Source organism: Homo sapiens, chromosome 1, assembly GCF_000001405.40.
Source record: "Homo sapiens chromosome 1, GRCh38.p14 Primary Assembly".
NCBI lineage: Eukaryota > Metazoa > Chordata > Mammalia > Primates > Hominidae > Homo > Homo sapiens.
The window spans coordinates 247,223,770-247,238,739 of NC_000001.11; the positions used below are offsets into that span (position 1 = coordinate 247,223,770).

The 14,970-nt window shown below is 38.9% G+C and overlaps 2 pseudogenes; one reads left to right on the top strand and one right to left on the bottom strand.

The window, feature by feature from the left end:
* On the top strand, positions 6,094-7,566 carry LOC343165 (heat shock protein family A (Hsp70) member 8 pseudogene; annotated as a pseudogene).
* Positions 13,455-14,081, bottom strand: VN1R17P (vomeronasal 1 receptor 17 pseudogene; annotated as a pseudogene).

Below are 14,970 nucleotides of genomic sequence, written 5' to 3' on the forward strand. Positions count from 1 at the left end.
AGTACCAGCCACCACAAAAGCACACTGAAGTACAGAGACCAGTGAAACTATGACACAACCACACAAAAAAGTCTGCAAAATAACCAGTTAGCATCATGATGACAGGATCAATTTCACAAATAACAATATTAACCTTAAATGTAAATGTGCTAAGTGCCCCAGTTAAAAGACACAGAATGGCAAGCTGGATAAAGAATCAAGCCACATTGGTATACTGTCTTCAAGAGTCAATCTCACATGCAAAGACAAAAATAGACTCAAAATAAAGGGATGGAGGAAAATTTACGAAGCAAATTGAAAATAGAAAAAAGCAGGGCTCACAATCTTAGTTTCTGACAAAACAGGCTTTAAACCAACAAACATCGAAAAAGAAGGGCATTACGTAATGGTAAAGTTCAACAAGAACCAACTATCCTAAACATATATGCACCCAATACAGGAGCACCCAGATTCATAAAACAAGTTCTTAGAGACCTTCAAAGAGACTTAGACTCCCACATAATAACAGTGGGAGACTTTAACACCCCACTGATAATATTAGACAGATTATTGAGACAGAAAATTAACAAAGATATTCAGGACTTGAACTCAGCTCTGAACCAAGTGGCCCTGATTAATATCTACAGAACTCTTCACTCAAAACAACAGAATATACATTCTTCTCATCACCAGGCATGGCACTGACTCTAAAATTCATCACATAATCATAAGTAAAACACTCCTTGGCAAATGCAAAAGAACTGAAATCAGAACAAGCAATCTCTCAGACCACAGCACAATCAAATTAGAACTCAAGAAACGCACTCAAAACCACACAACTACATAGAAATTGAACAACCTACTCCTGAACGACTCTGGGGTAAATAATGAAATTAAGGAAGAAATTAAGAAGTTCTTTGAAACTAATAAGAACAAAGAGACAATGTACCAGAATCTCTGGGATGCAACTAAAGCAGTGTTAAGAGGGAAATTTATAGCACTAAATGCCCATATCAAAAAGCTAGAAAGATCTCAAATCAACAACCTAACATCAAAACTAAAAGAACTAGATCTCATTAAACTAAAGAGCTTCTGCACAGCAAAAAAAGAAACTATCTTCAGAGTGAACAGAAAACCTACAGAATGGGAGAAAAAGTTTGCAATCAACCCATCAGACAAAGCTCTAATATCCAGAATCCACAAGGAACTTAAATTTACAAGAAAAAAAGAAACAATTCTATCAAAAAGTGGGCAAAGGACATGAACAGACACTTCTCAAAACAAGACATTTATGTACCCAACAAACATATGAAAAAAAGCTCAACATCATTGATCATTAGAGAAATGCAATTTGACCATTTGACCCAGCAATCCCATTACTGGGTATATACCCAACTTTATATAAAGGTGTCCACTATCTATGCTTCTGTAACTTCATTTTTAATTCAACATTGTATTTTTGGATGTCTTTCATGTTTTAGTTTCTTATTTAATTCTATATATTGTTTATGAATTAGCCCTCTAAATCGAAGACACTAAAACCTACCTCAGAGAGAATTCTTGAAAGGTAATGGATAAAAAGTGCTTATAGCAATGCCTTATTGTAGATGTTCAGTAGTACAGTAAGTTCTTACTTAAATCATCAGTAGGTTCTCAGAAACTGGGACTTTAAGCAAAAATGTGTATCATTAAACCAATTTTACTGAAAGCTAATTGATATTGAAAGGAGTTAAGTTCCTATAGCATATTTCTGGTAACAAAAACATCACCAAGTTTCTAAATAAAGATCCAAAACACTTATTATATTAAACATTGAAATAAATGAGAGCTATAGATACATTTAAGAAAGGTTAATAGAGCTACTTGTAAGGCTGAGGCAGGAAGATCTCTTGAGCCCAGGAGTTTGAGTTTACAGTGAGCTATGAACACACCACTATGAACATGTAAGATAATTACTTACCCAATTCTTAGTGAGTCAGTAAGTGATGGTGGTCATAGTGGTGATGGGTTAAATGAATGAATAAATGTTAGCAAATCAAATATTGCAAAGAGCACCTCCTACCACCTCAGGGTTCAAAATAGAAAATATGTCAGCAGAGCGCTTCTGTACTCCATTACTGCATTGTGCATTGTTGTGCATTTGCATGGTTATTACGTACTTTACAAATACTGATTTTTGTTTTTTGTTTTTTTTTTTGTTTTTTGGGGGCTCTGAGCCCTTACCTTGCTCTGTCGTCCAGACTGGAGTGCAGTGGTGCAATCTCGGCTCACTGCCACCTCTGCCTCCCGGGTTCACGCCGTTCTCCTGCCTCAGCCTCCCTAGTAGCTGGGACTACAGGCGCCTGCCACCATGCCTGGCTAATTTTTTGTATTTTTTAGTAGAGACGGGGTTTCACCGTGTTAGCCAGGATGGTCTTGATCTCCTGACCTTGTGATCCACCTGCCTCGGCCTCCCAAAGTGCTGGGATTACAGGTGTGAGCCACCGCGCCCGGCCAGATATTGATTTTATAATATGTTTTATAAATTCATTCATTCATTTCCCACATTACTAATTCTAGTTCAGGGTCACAAGTAGCCAGAGGCCATCCCAGCAGCTCAGGGTGCAAGGTAGGAACTAATCCTGGACAAGACTCCATTTCATTGTAAGGCACATTCACACCCTCACCCACACTCATTCTTTTTCTTCTTGAGATGGAGTCTCGATCTGTCACCCAACCTGGAGTGCAATGGCATGATCTTGGCTCACTGCAACCTCCACCTCCCGGGTTCAAGCAATTCTCCTGCCTTTGCCTCCCCAGTAGCTGGGACTACAGGAACACATCTCCAGGCCCAGCTAATTTTTATATTTTTAGTAGAGACGGGGTTTCACCATGTTGGCCAGGCTGGTCTCAAACTCATGACCTTAGGTGATCTGCCCACCTCGGCCTCCCAAAGTGCTGGGATTACAGGCATGAGCCACCATGCCTGGCCCACACTCACTCTTACTGGGACAATGTAGACATGCCAATTAACCTAATGTGCACATCTTTGGGTTGTGGGGGAAAACTGGAATACCTGGAGAAAACACACACAGAGACAAAGAGAGAAACTGTTAACTCTATACAGACAGTGGCCTTGGCCAGGAATTGATAACATTAGTGGAGGACCTGCATACATATGTAATAATACGTACAATATTATATAATTATGAGTGATTATAGTATTATAACAATTACCTAATGTAAATGACAAGTTGATGGGTACAGCAAGCCAACATGGCACATGTATACCTATGTGACAAGCCTGCATGTTGTGCCCATGTACCCTAGAACTTAAAGTATAATAATAAGAAAATTGCTTATTTCTATGTCAGTGTAGATTATTTTGTCAACTGCATTATTTATTACAATTTTTCAAAGTATAGTAAAATCTGACTTACATGCACCTTTAAAAAAAGACTTGTTTGGGATATTTGAAGTTTTTGGATGGCTAAGATTTATTTTTTACATATCAATTTATTTCTAAATGCATGCTTTTAAACTTAAACTGAAAGAATAGATTTTATCTGAAAATTGTAATAATTTTCAAATTCTCTTTCAAACTTGTTTATGAACATGTATGGCATAGCTTAAATAAGACTGTGCAAACTCTTTTGTGTTCTACTTTTTAAATATTACTTTTTTTGTTCACTTTCCCATATTTGCAAGCCTCACATAGTTGCCATTTTAAATATGTTTTTGTGATTCACCAATTTTTCTACCAGTCAGAGAGCAGCACGAGAGAGCAAATGAAACCATCTGGCTCTGAGCCCTTACCAGGTGTACTTGTAAGGTTCCAAATACTCACATGGGGTATTAGTCCATTTTCACACTGCTATAAAGAATTACCCAAGACTGGGTAATTTATAAAATAAAAAGGTTTAATTGACTCACAGTTACGCATGGCTGGGGAGGCCTCAGAAAACTTACAGTCATGGTGGAAGGGGAAGCAGGCATGTCTTACATGGCAGCAGGAGAGAGAAAGGAGTGAAGGAGGGACTTCCAACACTTATAAAACCATTAGATCTTGTGAGAACTCACTCACCATCACAGGAGCAGCATGGGGGAAACCATCCCCATGATTCAATAATCCCTTTGCCCAATTGTAATCCCTCCCTTGACATGTGGGGATTACAATTTCAGATGAGATTTGGGTGGGGACACAGAGCCCAACCATATCACACGCGGTGCATGATTGTTCTTGGTGTTAGCTTACAAGATCCAAGTATTTCTCACAGGGTAATGTGAAAATTGCACCAGCAGCTGCATTGGAAAAAAAAAAATCAGTGGACACCAAGAACAATCATGCACCCCATGTGATATGGTTTGGCTCTGTTCAAAGAAATCAGAGATAACACAAACAAATGGAAAAACATTCTGAGGCAGGAGACTAGGGTCTGGAGGCAGGGAACCTAAGGCTGATTCATGCTGACTGAATATCACAGGCTATTCCCCTTTCAATTCCTCCTTTCTCTTTGTGGCAGTTGCTGCGTGGCAGTTGGAAAATGAAAGTACCTCTGATTGGTCCCTTTCCACAACCAATCAGACTGGTCATGGCCCACTACTTTATTTGCATAGAGTGAACCAATGGGAAACCTCTAGAGGGCGTTTAAACCCCAAAATATTCTGTAACTAACGCTCTTGAGCTGCTTGCTTGAGCCTCCCCTGACTCTGTGGAGTGTACTTTCATTTAAAATAAATCTCTGCTTTTGCTGCCTTGTTTTGTTTGCATGTTTTGTCCAATTCTTTGTTCAAAATGCCAAGAATCTGGACAACTACCCTCAACAGTAACAATTCCCTGCTCATGGATAGGAAGAATCAGTATCACTAAAACGGCCATATTGTCAAAAGCAATTTACAGGTTCAATGCTATTCTTATTAAACTAACAATGACATTCCCCACAGAACTAGAAAAAAAGCTATTTTAAAATTCATACAGAACCAGAAATGAACTGGAATAGCTAAGGCAATCTTAAGCAAAAAGAACAAAGCTATAGTGATCAAACTACTCAACTTTAAACTATAGAGGAGGGCTACATTAATCAAAACAGCATGGTACTGGTACAGAAACAGACACACATACCAGTGGAACTGAATAGACGCCCAGAAATAAGGCCACACACCTACAACCATCTGATCTTCAACAAAGCTGACAAAAACAAGCAGTAGGGAAAGAATTCCCTATTGAATAAACTGTGCTTGAATAACTGATAGCCACATGCAGAAGACTGAAACTGGACCTCTTTTTTTACAAGATATACAAAAATTAACTCAAGATTGATTAAAAACTTAAATGTAAAACCCAAAACTATAAAATCCCTGGAAGACAACCTAGGCAATACTATTCTGGACATAAAAATGAGCAAAATTTTTATGATGAAAATGCCAAAAGCAATCACAACGAAAGCAAAAATTGACAAATGGGATCTAATTAAACTTATGAGCTTCTGCCTAGCAAAAGAAACTATCAACAGAGTGAACAGACAATCTACAGAATGGGAGAGAATACTTGTGAACTATGCATCTGACAAAAGTCTAATATTCATCATCTGTAAGGAACTCAAATTTACGACAACAAGAAAACCCCTCAAAAACCTCATTTAAAAGTGGGCAAATCCTGGGTGTAGTGGCTTATGCCTGTAATCCCAGAACTTTGGGAGGCCAAGGCAGGAGGATCACTTGAAAACCAAGAAAGACCCTGCATAGCCAAAGCAAGAAGAAGCAAAAAGAACAGATCTGGAAGCATCACATTACCCAACTTCAAACTATACTGTAAGGCCATAGTCACCAAAACAACATGGTACTGGTATAAAAATAGGCACATAGACAAATGGAACAGTATAGAGAACCCAGAAGTAAAGCCAAATACTTACAGCCAACTGATCTTCAAAAAACTGAACAAAAACATAAAGTGAGGAAAGGACACCCTATTCAACAAATGGTGTTGGGATAACTGGCAAGCCACATGTAGAAGAATGAAACTGGATCCTCACCTCTCCCCTTATACAAAAATCAATCCACGATGGATCAAAGACTTAAATCAAAGACCTGACACCATAAAGCTTCTACAAGATGACATCAGAAAAAACCCTTCTGTCATTGAACTCACCTGCAGCTCTCAGGGTTTCTGTGTCTTTCTTTGTAGCCAGAGACAGGCCTACATACCAGCAATCATGTTGAAGGGAACTGCAGTTGATATTGATATTGGCACCACCTACTCTTGTGTGGGTGTTTTCCAGCACGGGAAAGTAGAGATAATTGCCAATGATCAGGGAAACCGAACCACTCCAAGCTATGTTGCCTTTACAGACACTGAACGATTGATAGGTGATGCCACAAAGAATCAAGTTGCAATGAACCCCACCAACATGGTTTTTTGATGCCAAACATCTAATTGGATGCAGATTTGATGATGCTGTTGTCCAGCCTGATATGAAGTATTGGCCCTTCATGGTGGTGAATGATGCTGGCAGGCCCAAGGTCCAAGTGGAATACAAGGGAGAGACCAAAAGCTTCTACCCAGAGGAGGTACCCTCTATGGTTCTGACAAAGATGAAGGAAATTGCAGAAGCATACCTTGGGAATATGGTTACCAATGCTGTGGTCACAGTGCCAGCTTACTTTAATGACCCTCAGCATCAGGCTACCAAATATGCTAGAACTATTGCTGGTCTCAATGTACTTAGAAGTATCAGTGAGCCAACTGTAGCTGCTACTGCTTACAGCTTAGACAAAAAGGTTGGAGCTGAAAGAAATGTGCTGACCTTTGACCTGAGAGGTGGGACTTTTGATGTGTCAATCCTCACTATTGAGGATGGAATCTTTGAGGTCAGATCTACAGCTGGAGACACCCACTTGGGTGGAGAAGACTTTGACAACCGAATGTCAACCATTTTATTGCTGAGTTCAAGAGCAAGCATAAGAAGGACATCAGTGAGAATAAGAGAGCTGTAAGATGCCTCCATACTGCTTATGAACATGCTAAGTGTACTCTCTCTTCCAGCATCCAGGCCAGTATTGGGATCGATTCTCTCTATGAAGGAATAAACTTCTATATGTCCATTGCCTGTGCCCGATTTGAAGAATTGAATGCTGACCTGTTCCATAGCACCCTAGACCCCATAGAGAAAGCCCTTCAAGATGCCAAACTGGACAAGTCAAAGATTCATGATATTGTCCTGTTTGGTGGTTCTACTCATATCCCCAAGATTCAGAAGCTTCTCCAAGACTTCATCAATGGAAAAGAACCGAATAAGAGCATCAATCCTGATGAAGCTCTTGCTTATGGTGCAGCTGTTCAGGCAGCCATCCTATCTGGAGACAAGTCTGAAAATGTTCAAGAGTTGCTCCTCTTAGATGTCTCTCCTCTTTCCCTTGGTATTGAAACTGCTGGTGGAGTCACCACTGTCTTCATCAAGCGTAATACTACCATTCCTACCAAGCAGACACAGACCTTCACTACCTATTCTGGCAACCAGCCTGGTGTGCTTATTCACAGGTTTATGAAGGTGAGCGTGCCACGACCAAGGATAACAACCTGCGTGGCAAGTGTGAACTCACAGGCATACCTCCTGCACCCCGTGGTGTTCCTCAGATTGAAGTCACTTTTGACATTGATGCCAATGGCATCCTCAATGTCTCTTCTGTGGACAAGAGTACAGGAAAAGAGAACAAGATTACTATCACTAATGACAAGGGCCATTTGAGCAAGGAAGACATTGAATGTATGGTCCAGGAAGCTGAGAAGTACAAAGCTGAAGATGAGAAGCAGAGGGATGAAGTGTCATCTAAGAATTCACTTGAGTCGTATGCATTCAACAAGAAAGCAACTGTCTAAGATGAGAAACTTCAAGGCAAGATTAATGATGAAGACAAACAGAAGATTCTGGACAAGTGTAATAAAACTATCAGCTGGCTCGATAAAAATCAGACTGTTGAGAAGGAAGAATTTGAACATCAGCAGGAAGAGCTGGAGAAAGTCTGCAACTCCATCATTACCAAGTATACCAGACTGCAGGAGGCGTGCCAGGAAGAATGCCTGGGGGATTCCCTGATGGTGGAGCTCCTCCCTCTGATGGTGCTTCCTCAGGGCCCACCATTGAAGAGGTTGATTAAGCCAACCCAACTATAGATGTAGCATTGTTCCACACATTTTGAAACACTGAAGGACCTAAATTTGTAGCAAATTCTGTGGCAGTTTAAAAAAGTTCAGCTAATATAGTAAGTAACTGGGTAGTCTCAATACTTGAATATGGAACATATGCACAGGGGAAGGAAATAACATTGCACTTTATAAATACTGTATTTTAACTGGAAAATATAGTGTCTTAAATAAAAACTGTCTTAAATTGGCACCATAAAAAAACGTAAAATCCTTCTAGACATTGACTTAGGCAAAGACTTCATGACCGAGAACCCAAAAGCAAATGCAACAAAAACAAAGATAAATAGGCGGGACTTAATTAAACTAAAAAGCTTCGGCACAGCAAAAGAATCAGCAGAGTTAACAGACAACTTACAGAGTGGGAGAAAATTTTCACAATCTCTACATGTGACAAAAGACTAATATCCAGAATCTACAAAGAAATCAGCAAGAACAATACAAATAATCCCATCAAAAAGTGGGCTAAGGAGATGAATTCTCAAAAAAAGATATACAAATGGCCAAAAAGCACATGGAAGAATGCTCAGCATCACTAATTATTAGGGAAATAGAGATCAAAACCGCAATGCAATACCACCCCACTCCTGCAAGAATGGCCATAATAAAAAAATCAAAAAATAATATATGTTGGCAAGGATGTGGTGAAATGGGAACACTTTTACACTGCTGGTGGGAATGTAAACTAGTACAACCAGGATGGAAAACAACGTGGAGATTCCTTAAAAAACTAAAAGTAGATCTATCATTTGATCCAGCAATCCGACTACTGGGTATCTACCCAGAGGAAAAGAAGTCATTATACGAAAAAGATACTTGCGCATGCATGTTTATAGCAGCACAATTTGCAATTGCAGAAAAAAATGTCCCATCAACCAACGCATGGATAAAGAAAATGTGGTACATATATACCATGGAATACTACCTCAGACATAACAAGGAATGAAATAATGGCATTTGCAGCAATCTGAATGGAATTGGAGACTATTATTCTAAGTAAAATAACTCGGGAATGGACAACCAAACATCGTATGTTCTCACTCATAAGTGGGAGCTAAGCTATGAGAACACAAAGGAATAAGAATGATACAATGGACTTTGGGAACTTCAGGGAAAGGGTGGGAGGGGGATGAGGGATAAATGACTACACATTGGGTACAGTGTACACTACTTGTGTGATGGGTGCACCAAAATCTCAGAAATCACCACTGAAGAATTTATTCATGTAACCAAACACCACCTGTTCCCCAAAAACGTATTAAATAAAAAATAAATCTTAAAAAACATGGTACATATACACAATGGAGTATTATTAAGCAAAAAAAAAAAAAAAAATCAGATCTAGTCCTTTGCAACAACATGAATACATGAATGGAACTGGAGATCATTGTGTTTAATGAAATAAGCCAGGCACAGAGAGATAAATGTCACATGTTCTCACTTATTTGTGAGATCTAAAAATCAAAACAATTGAATCCATGGAGATAGAGAGTAGAAGGATGGTTTCCGGAGACTGGAAGGGTCACTGAGGGATGTGTGTTGGGGGGAGGTGAGGATTGTTAATGGATACAAAAAATAATTAGAAGCAATGAACGAGACCTACTATTTGATGCCATAACAGGGTGGCTATAGTCAATAATAATTTAATTGTACATTTTAAAATAATTTAAAGGGTGTAATTGGATTGTTTGTGATTCAAAGGATAAATGCTTGAGGGGATAGATGCCCCATTCTCTATGCTGTGATTATTTCACATTGCATGCCTGTATCAAACCCCATCTCATGTACCTCATAAATATGTATACCTACTATGTACCCACAAAAATTAAAACAAAAAGAAAGAAAAAGAAAAAGAAAAGTAAATGAAATAGATTACAAGGCAAAAGTAACAACAATAGCATGGTTGAGTTTAAAAGAGACACATAGTCCAGTGGAACAGAGTATAGAACAGAGAAATAAATCCATGTATTTACAGCCAACTGGTTTTCCACAAAGGCTCCAAGAACATACACTGGGTGTTGGACATTATTTTCAATGAATGGTGCTGGGAAAACTGGATATCTACATGCAAAAGTATGAAACTGGACCCCTATTTCTCACCATATACAAAAATAAACTGAAGATGAATTATGAACTTATACATAAGACCTGAAACTATAAAACTATTAGATAAAAACACACAGAAAACACTTCAGAACATTAGGCAAATATTTTATGGCTAAGACATCAAAAACACACACAATGAAAATGAAAACAAAAACAAAAGCAGACAAATGGGAAAATATTATTAAATAAAAAAACTTCTACATGGCAAAGGAAACAATCAATGGAGCAAAGAAACAACTTGTTGAATGGAAGAAAATATTTGCAAACTATTCATCTGATAAAGAACTAACATCCAAAATATACTCAAATAGTAAAAAGCAATCACATTAAAAAGTGTGCAAAGGACATACATAGACATTTCTCAAAAGAAGAAATGCAAATGGCTAACAGGTTTTTTTTTTTTAATGCTCAACATTACCAGTCACAAGGGAAATATAAGTCAAAACCAGAATGAGATATCATCTTACCCCAGTTAGAATGACTGTTATTAAAAGGAAAACACAAGAGACGTTGGCAAGAATGTGGAGAAAAGAAAACTTATATACTGTTGGTGGCAATGTAAGTCAGTACAGCCACTATGGAAAACAGTATGGAGATGTCACCAAAAAAACCCAAAAACAAACAAACAAACAAACAAAACTAACTAAAAATAGGACTACCATACCATCTAGCAATCCCACTACTGGGTATTTATCAAAAGAAAAGGAAATCCATATATCAAAGGGATGCCTACATTTGCATGTTTATAGCAACAGTATTTACAATAGCAAAGATATGAGATCAACCAAATTGTCCATCAGTGAATGAAAATGTAGGGTATGTGCACAATAAAGTACTATTATGCCTTTAAAAAAACTGAAATTTTGTTATTTGCAGCAACACAGATGTAAATGGATGTCATTATGTTAAGTGATGTATGCCAGGCACAGAAGGACAAATATTGAATAGTTTCACTTACATATGGGAGCAAAAAAAGTTGATCTCACGGAGATAGAGAGAAGAATGATAGCTACCAGAGACTGAGAAGTGTGCGTAGATGGTTGTTGATGGAAGAAGAGAGGTTGTTAATGGGTACAAACATACAGTTAGATATAAGAAATGTTTTAATATTTGATAGCAGAGTAACTGACTATATATAACAATGTATTGTATATTTCAAAATAGCTTTGAGAGAGAACTGAAAGGTTTCCAACACATACAAATAATAAACAGGCTGGACACTCTAGCTCATTCCTGTAATCCCAGCACTTTGGGAGGTCAAGGGAGTAGGATATTTGAGGCCAGGATTTTGAGACTAGCCTGAGCAAGAGTGATATCCCATCTCTACAAGAATAATAATAATAATTAGCCAGGTGTGGTGGTATGTGCCTGCAGTCCCAGTTACTTAGGAGGCTGAGGTGGGAAAATTTCTTCAGCCCAGGAGGTCGAGACTGCAGTGAGCCATGATTACTCCACTGCACTCCAGCCTGGGTGACAGAGTGAAACCCTATCTCCAAAAATTTTTTTGTAAAATTACAAATAAAAATTTGAGTTGATGAATACCCTATACATCAACTTGATCATGACACATTATATGCATATAACAAAATATTATACATATGCCATAAATATGTACACATATTATGTATCAACATAAAAAATATAAAAAATAAACTGGCATCACAGCTATGAAAATAAATTGAATTGTTAAATGGCAGTTGATACAGACTTCAGGTAAAATGATAACTAAGCTACATGGCTGAATAAAATGTTTAGAATGCAACTGAGAAAGCAGAGAGATCTAAAATATATGAAAGAGATTAGGAGATACAAATAATAAAATGAGCAGGTCTAATTTAAATCATGTTGAAAATTCAGAAGTAGAAAAGAGGGAAAACAAAGATACAATATTTGAAATAAAGACTTTGAATTTTATAGAAATGATAAAGTGAGATCAGGAGGGATGGCTCATACCTATAATCCAACACTTTGAGAGGCCAAGGCAGGAGGATTGCAGGAGGATTCCTTGAGCCCAAGGAGTTTGAGACCAGCCTCGGCAACACAGCGAGACCCTGTCTCTACAAAAAAAATTTTTTAAATTAGCCAGGTGTGGTGGCGTGTGCCTGTAATCCCAGCTATTCAAAGGCTGAGGTGGGAGGATCATTTGAGCCCAGGAGGTCGAGGGAACAGTGAGCCATGATTGTGCCATTGCACCCCAGGCTGAGGGACAGAGAGAAACCCTGTCTCAAAAAAATATATAGAAATAAGTAAAAATAAAAACATAACAAAATTGGGAAATGCAGATACATGTGGGAGATCAAAAAAGTGTGATAAATAAAACGGGATATTTATATACAAACAAGAATAGTGTGGCCGGGCGCAATGGCTCACGCCTGTAATCCCAGCACTTTGGGAGGCCGAGGTGGGCGGATCACGAGGTCAAGAGATTGAGACCATCCTGGCTAACATAGTGAAACCCCGTCTCTACTAAAAATACAAACAATTAGCCCAGTGTGGTGGCAGGCGCCTGGTGGGAACCAGGGTGGCGGGCGCCTGGTGGGAAGGGCGCCTCGTGGGAACCCGGGGGGGCGGAGCTTGCAGTGAGCCGAGATGGCGCCACTGCACTCCAGCCTGGGTGACAGAGCGAGGCTCCGTCTCAAAAAAATAAAAAGAAAGAAAGCAAAGAAACAAAAATCCTGTAGACATATGACTGATGTGCACAATTTACTCAATTGCATTTGCTAATCATATTAATCATATTACAAAGATCGTTATGATTGATATAACACAGGGTTAGTAATAACCTTGAATGAATGTATTCAGAGAAATACCCTATGCAACATGTAAAACTATTTGGGGGACTATCAAATGCATTTCTAGTTGTAAATTTTCATCACTTTTGATAAACCTTAATTATTCTCCTCCAAAGAGTCTGAACAATCTTGAATATTTGTTATCAGCATAGGTTAAGACTAAAGGACTAATTATGGCATAGTTATTGACCACAGGCATATGGAATCATACCAGTAGAGGGTCGTTTATCCATGTCACAACCACTGAAAATGAGAATATGAAGTCCACCCAATATAAGAAGACAAAACAGCTCACCAACAATAGGATGGTCTGGGAGGCCCTTTTTGCTGGGGAGGCTCTTGGGGAGACGCTGGTGCTATGTAGGTGCTGGGACAGTCTCTTTTGTTTGTACAAAATAATCACCCATAGCCACTTGAGAGGACCATGAGTCCTATGAAGATGACATCCCTCAAAACCATTAGTATGAAAAACAGGCTCCTGTGGGTGTAGCTCATGGGCAAAACATAACAGTGCTCAGTGACAAACAAAAGACTGGCCCCAATCCTATTCGGGGTAGGCACAATGAAAAGCAAAAGGTTATTAGTAATGAACATGTTGAGGACCCATGAGAAGAGGATGAAGCCTAAGGTGTGATTTGCAGAAATATGTTTAAACTTTTCCAAGAAGGAGGTGCTGGGGCTGATGGTGATGGCCTGGAGCACGCTTAGGAGGCAAGTGGTGCAGATGGAGACTCCCCTCATCACCCTGTTTAAAAATGTGATGATCTTACACTTTAGATCATTGTTCTGAATATTCCATGATTCAAATAAGTCGGAGGACACCAGTATCGCCTGAGTGAAGAGTAGCAGTATGTGGATTAGGGGCAAGTGACTAATGGTCATGTCAATGGGCTTAAGCCTGTGAGTATAAGCAAAAGTGAAGATGTGGAAAAGAAGGAGGAAGGTGTTTGCTGAGATTCCAAAGCTGACTTGAGGGTAATAAACATTTTTAATGACAATATAGCTGAAAAGCTTGGTCATTTCCATGGAAAATTAAAACAAATAAAGGATATCTGTAGAGAAAAATAAGACATCAAATGATAATTGCATTAGGAACATTTCTGCCATGTTGTTAATTAGTATCATTATGTTCAATAATCTCTGTGATCTGGAATAAAAAATGTCGATTAAATCTGAGTAGTTTATTACTCTTTGCTAAATATTCAACGCAACCATGTAATTCTCCAGATACTTGCTGTCCGTCTCCCATTCCCACCCCTGTGGTTCTCCCTCTGTTCCCTTTCCTGGGCTCCCACAAAATCTATGCTTTCCTCCATAGCAACATTTGCCCTCTTGATGGAAAACTGATGGTTTCTCTTGTACATGTCCACAAGTACCTCAAGGGCAGGAAGGAGCTTGGATTTCTGCTGTGCACAAACTTTTTCTACCTATAGATATCTGTCAAACAAAATCAAAGTATGTGTTGGGCAAGTGGAAAAAGTAAATTAACTCAACAGGACCATTTCGATCTTTATCTCGTCTTCTCTGGGGCTCCTTTCCTGGTGCACTTGGGGATGGAGAAATAAAATGACTCAATGATTTTCACTGAACAGTAACTATTATTGACAGTGGCAGAGCAGCTTCTTACATATATCTTGGTACGTAGCTTACATAGATTCTGCAGAAAAATAACAAAACCTTAAGGTCTATAAACAGTTAAAACTCTCACATTCAAACATGGGCACTTATTGTGGTAAATGCAGCTTTGACCCCATGCATGATGGTGAAAACCCTGGAAGCATGCCGGGAGAGTGGCAATGTGCACCAAGGGCCTTCCTTGACTGACTACGCAGCCCTTGTTTCCACGGAAGACCATTTAGCCGGTGCTGGGCACCAAGCCTGGTCCTCAGTCATGCTCAATAGTGGGATTCATAG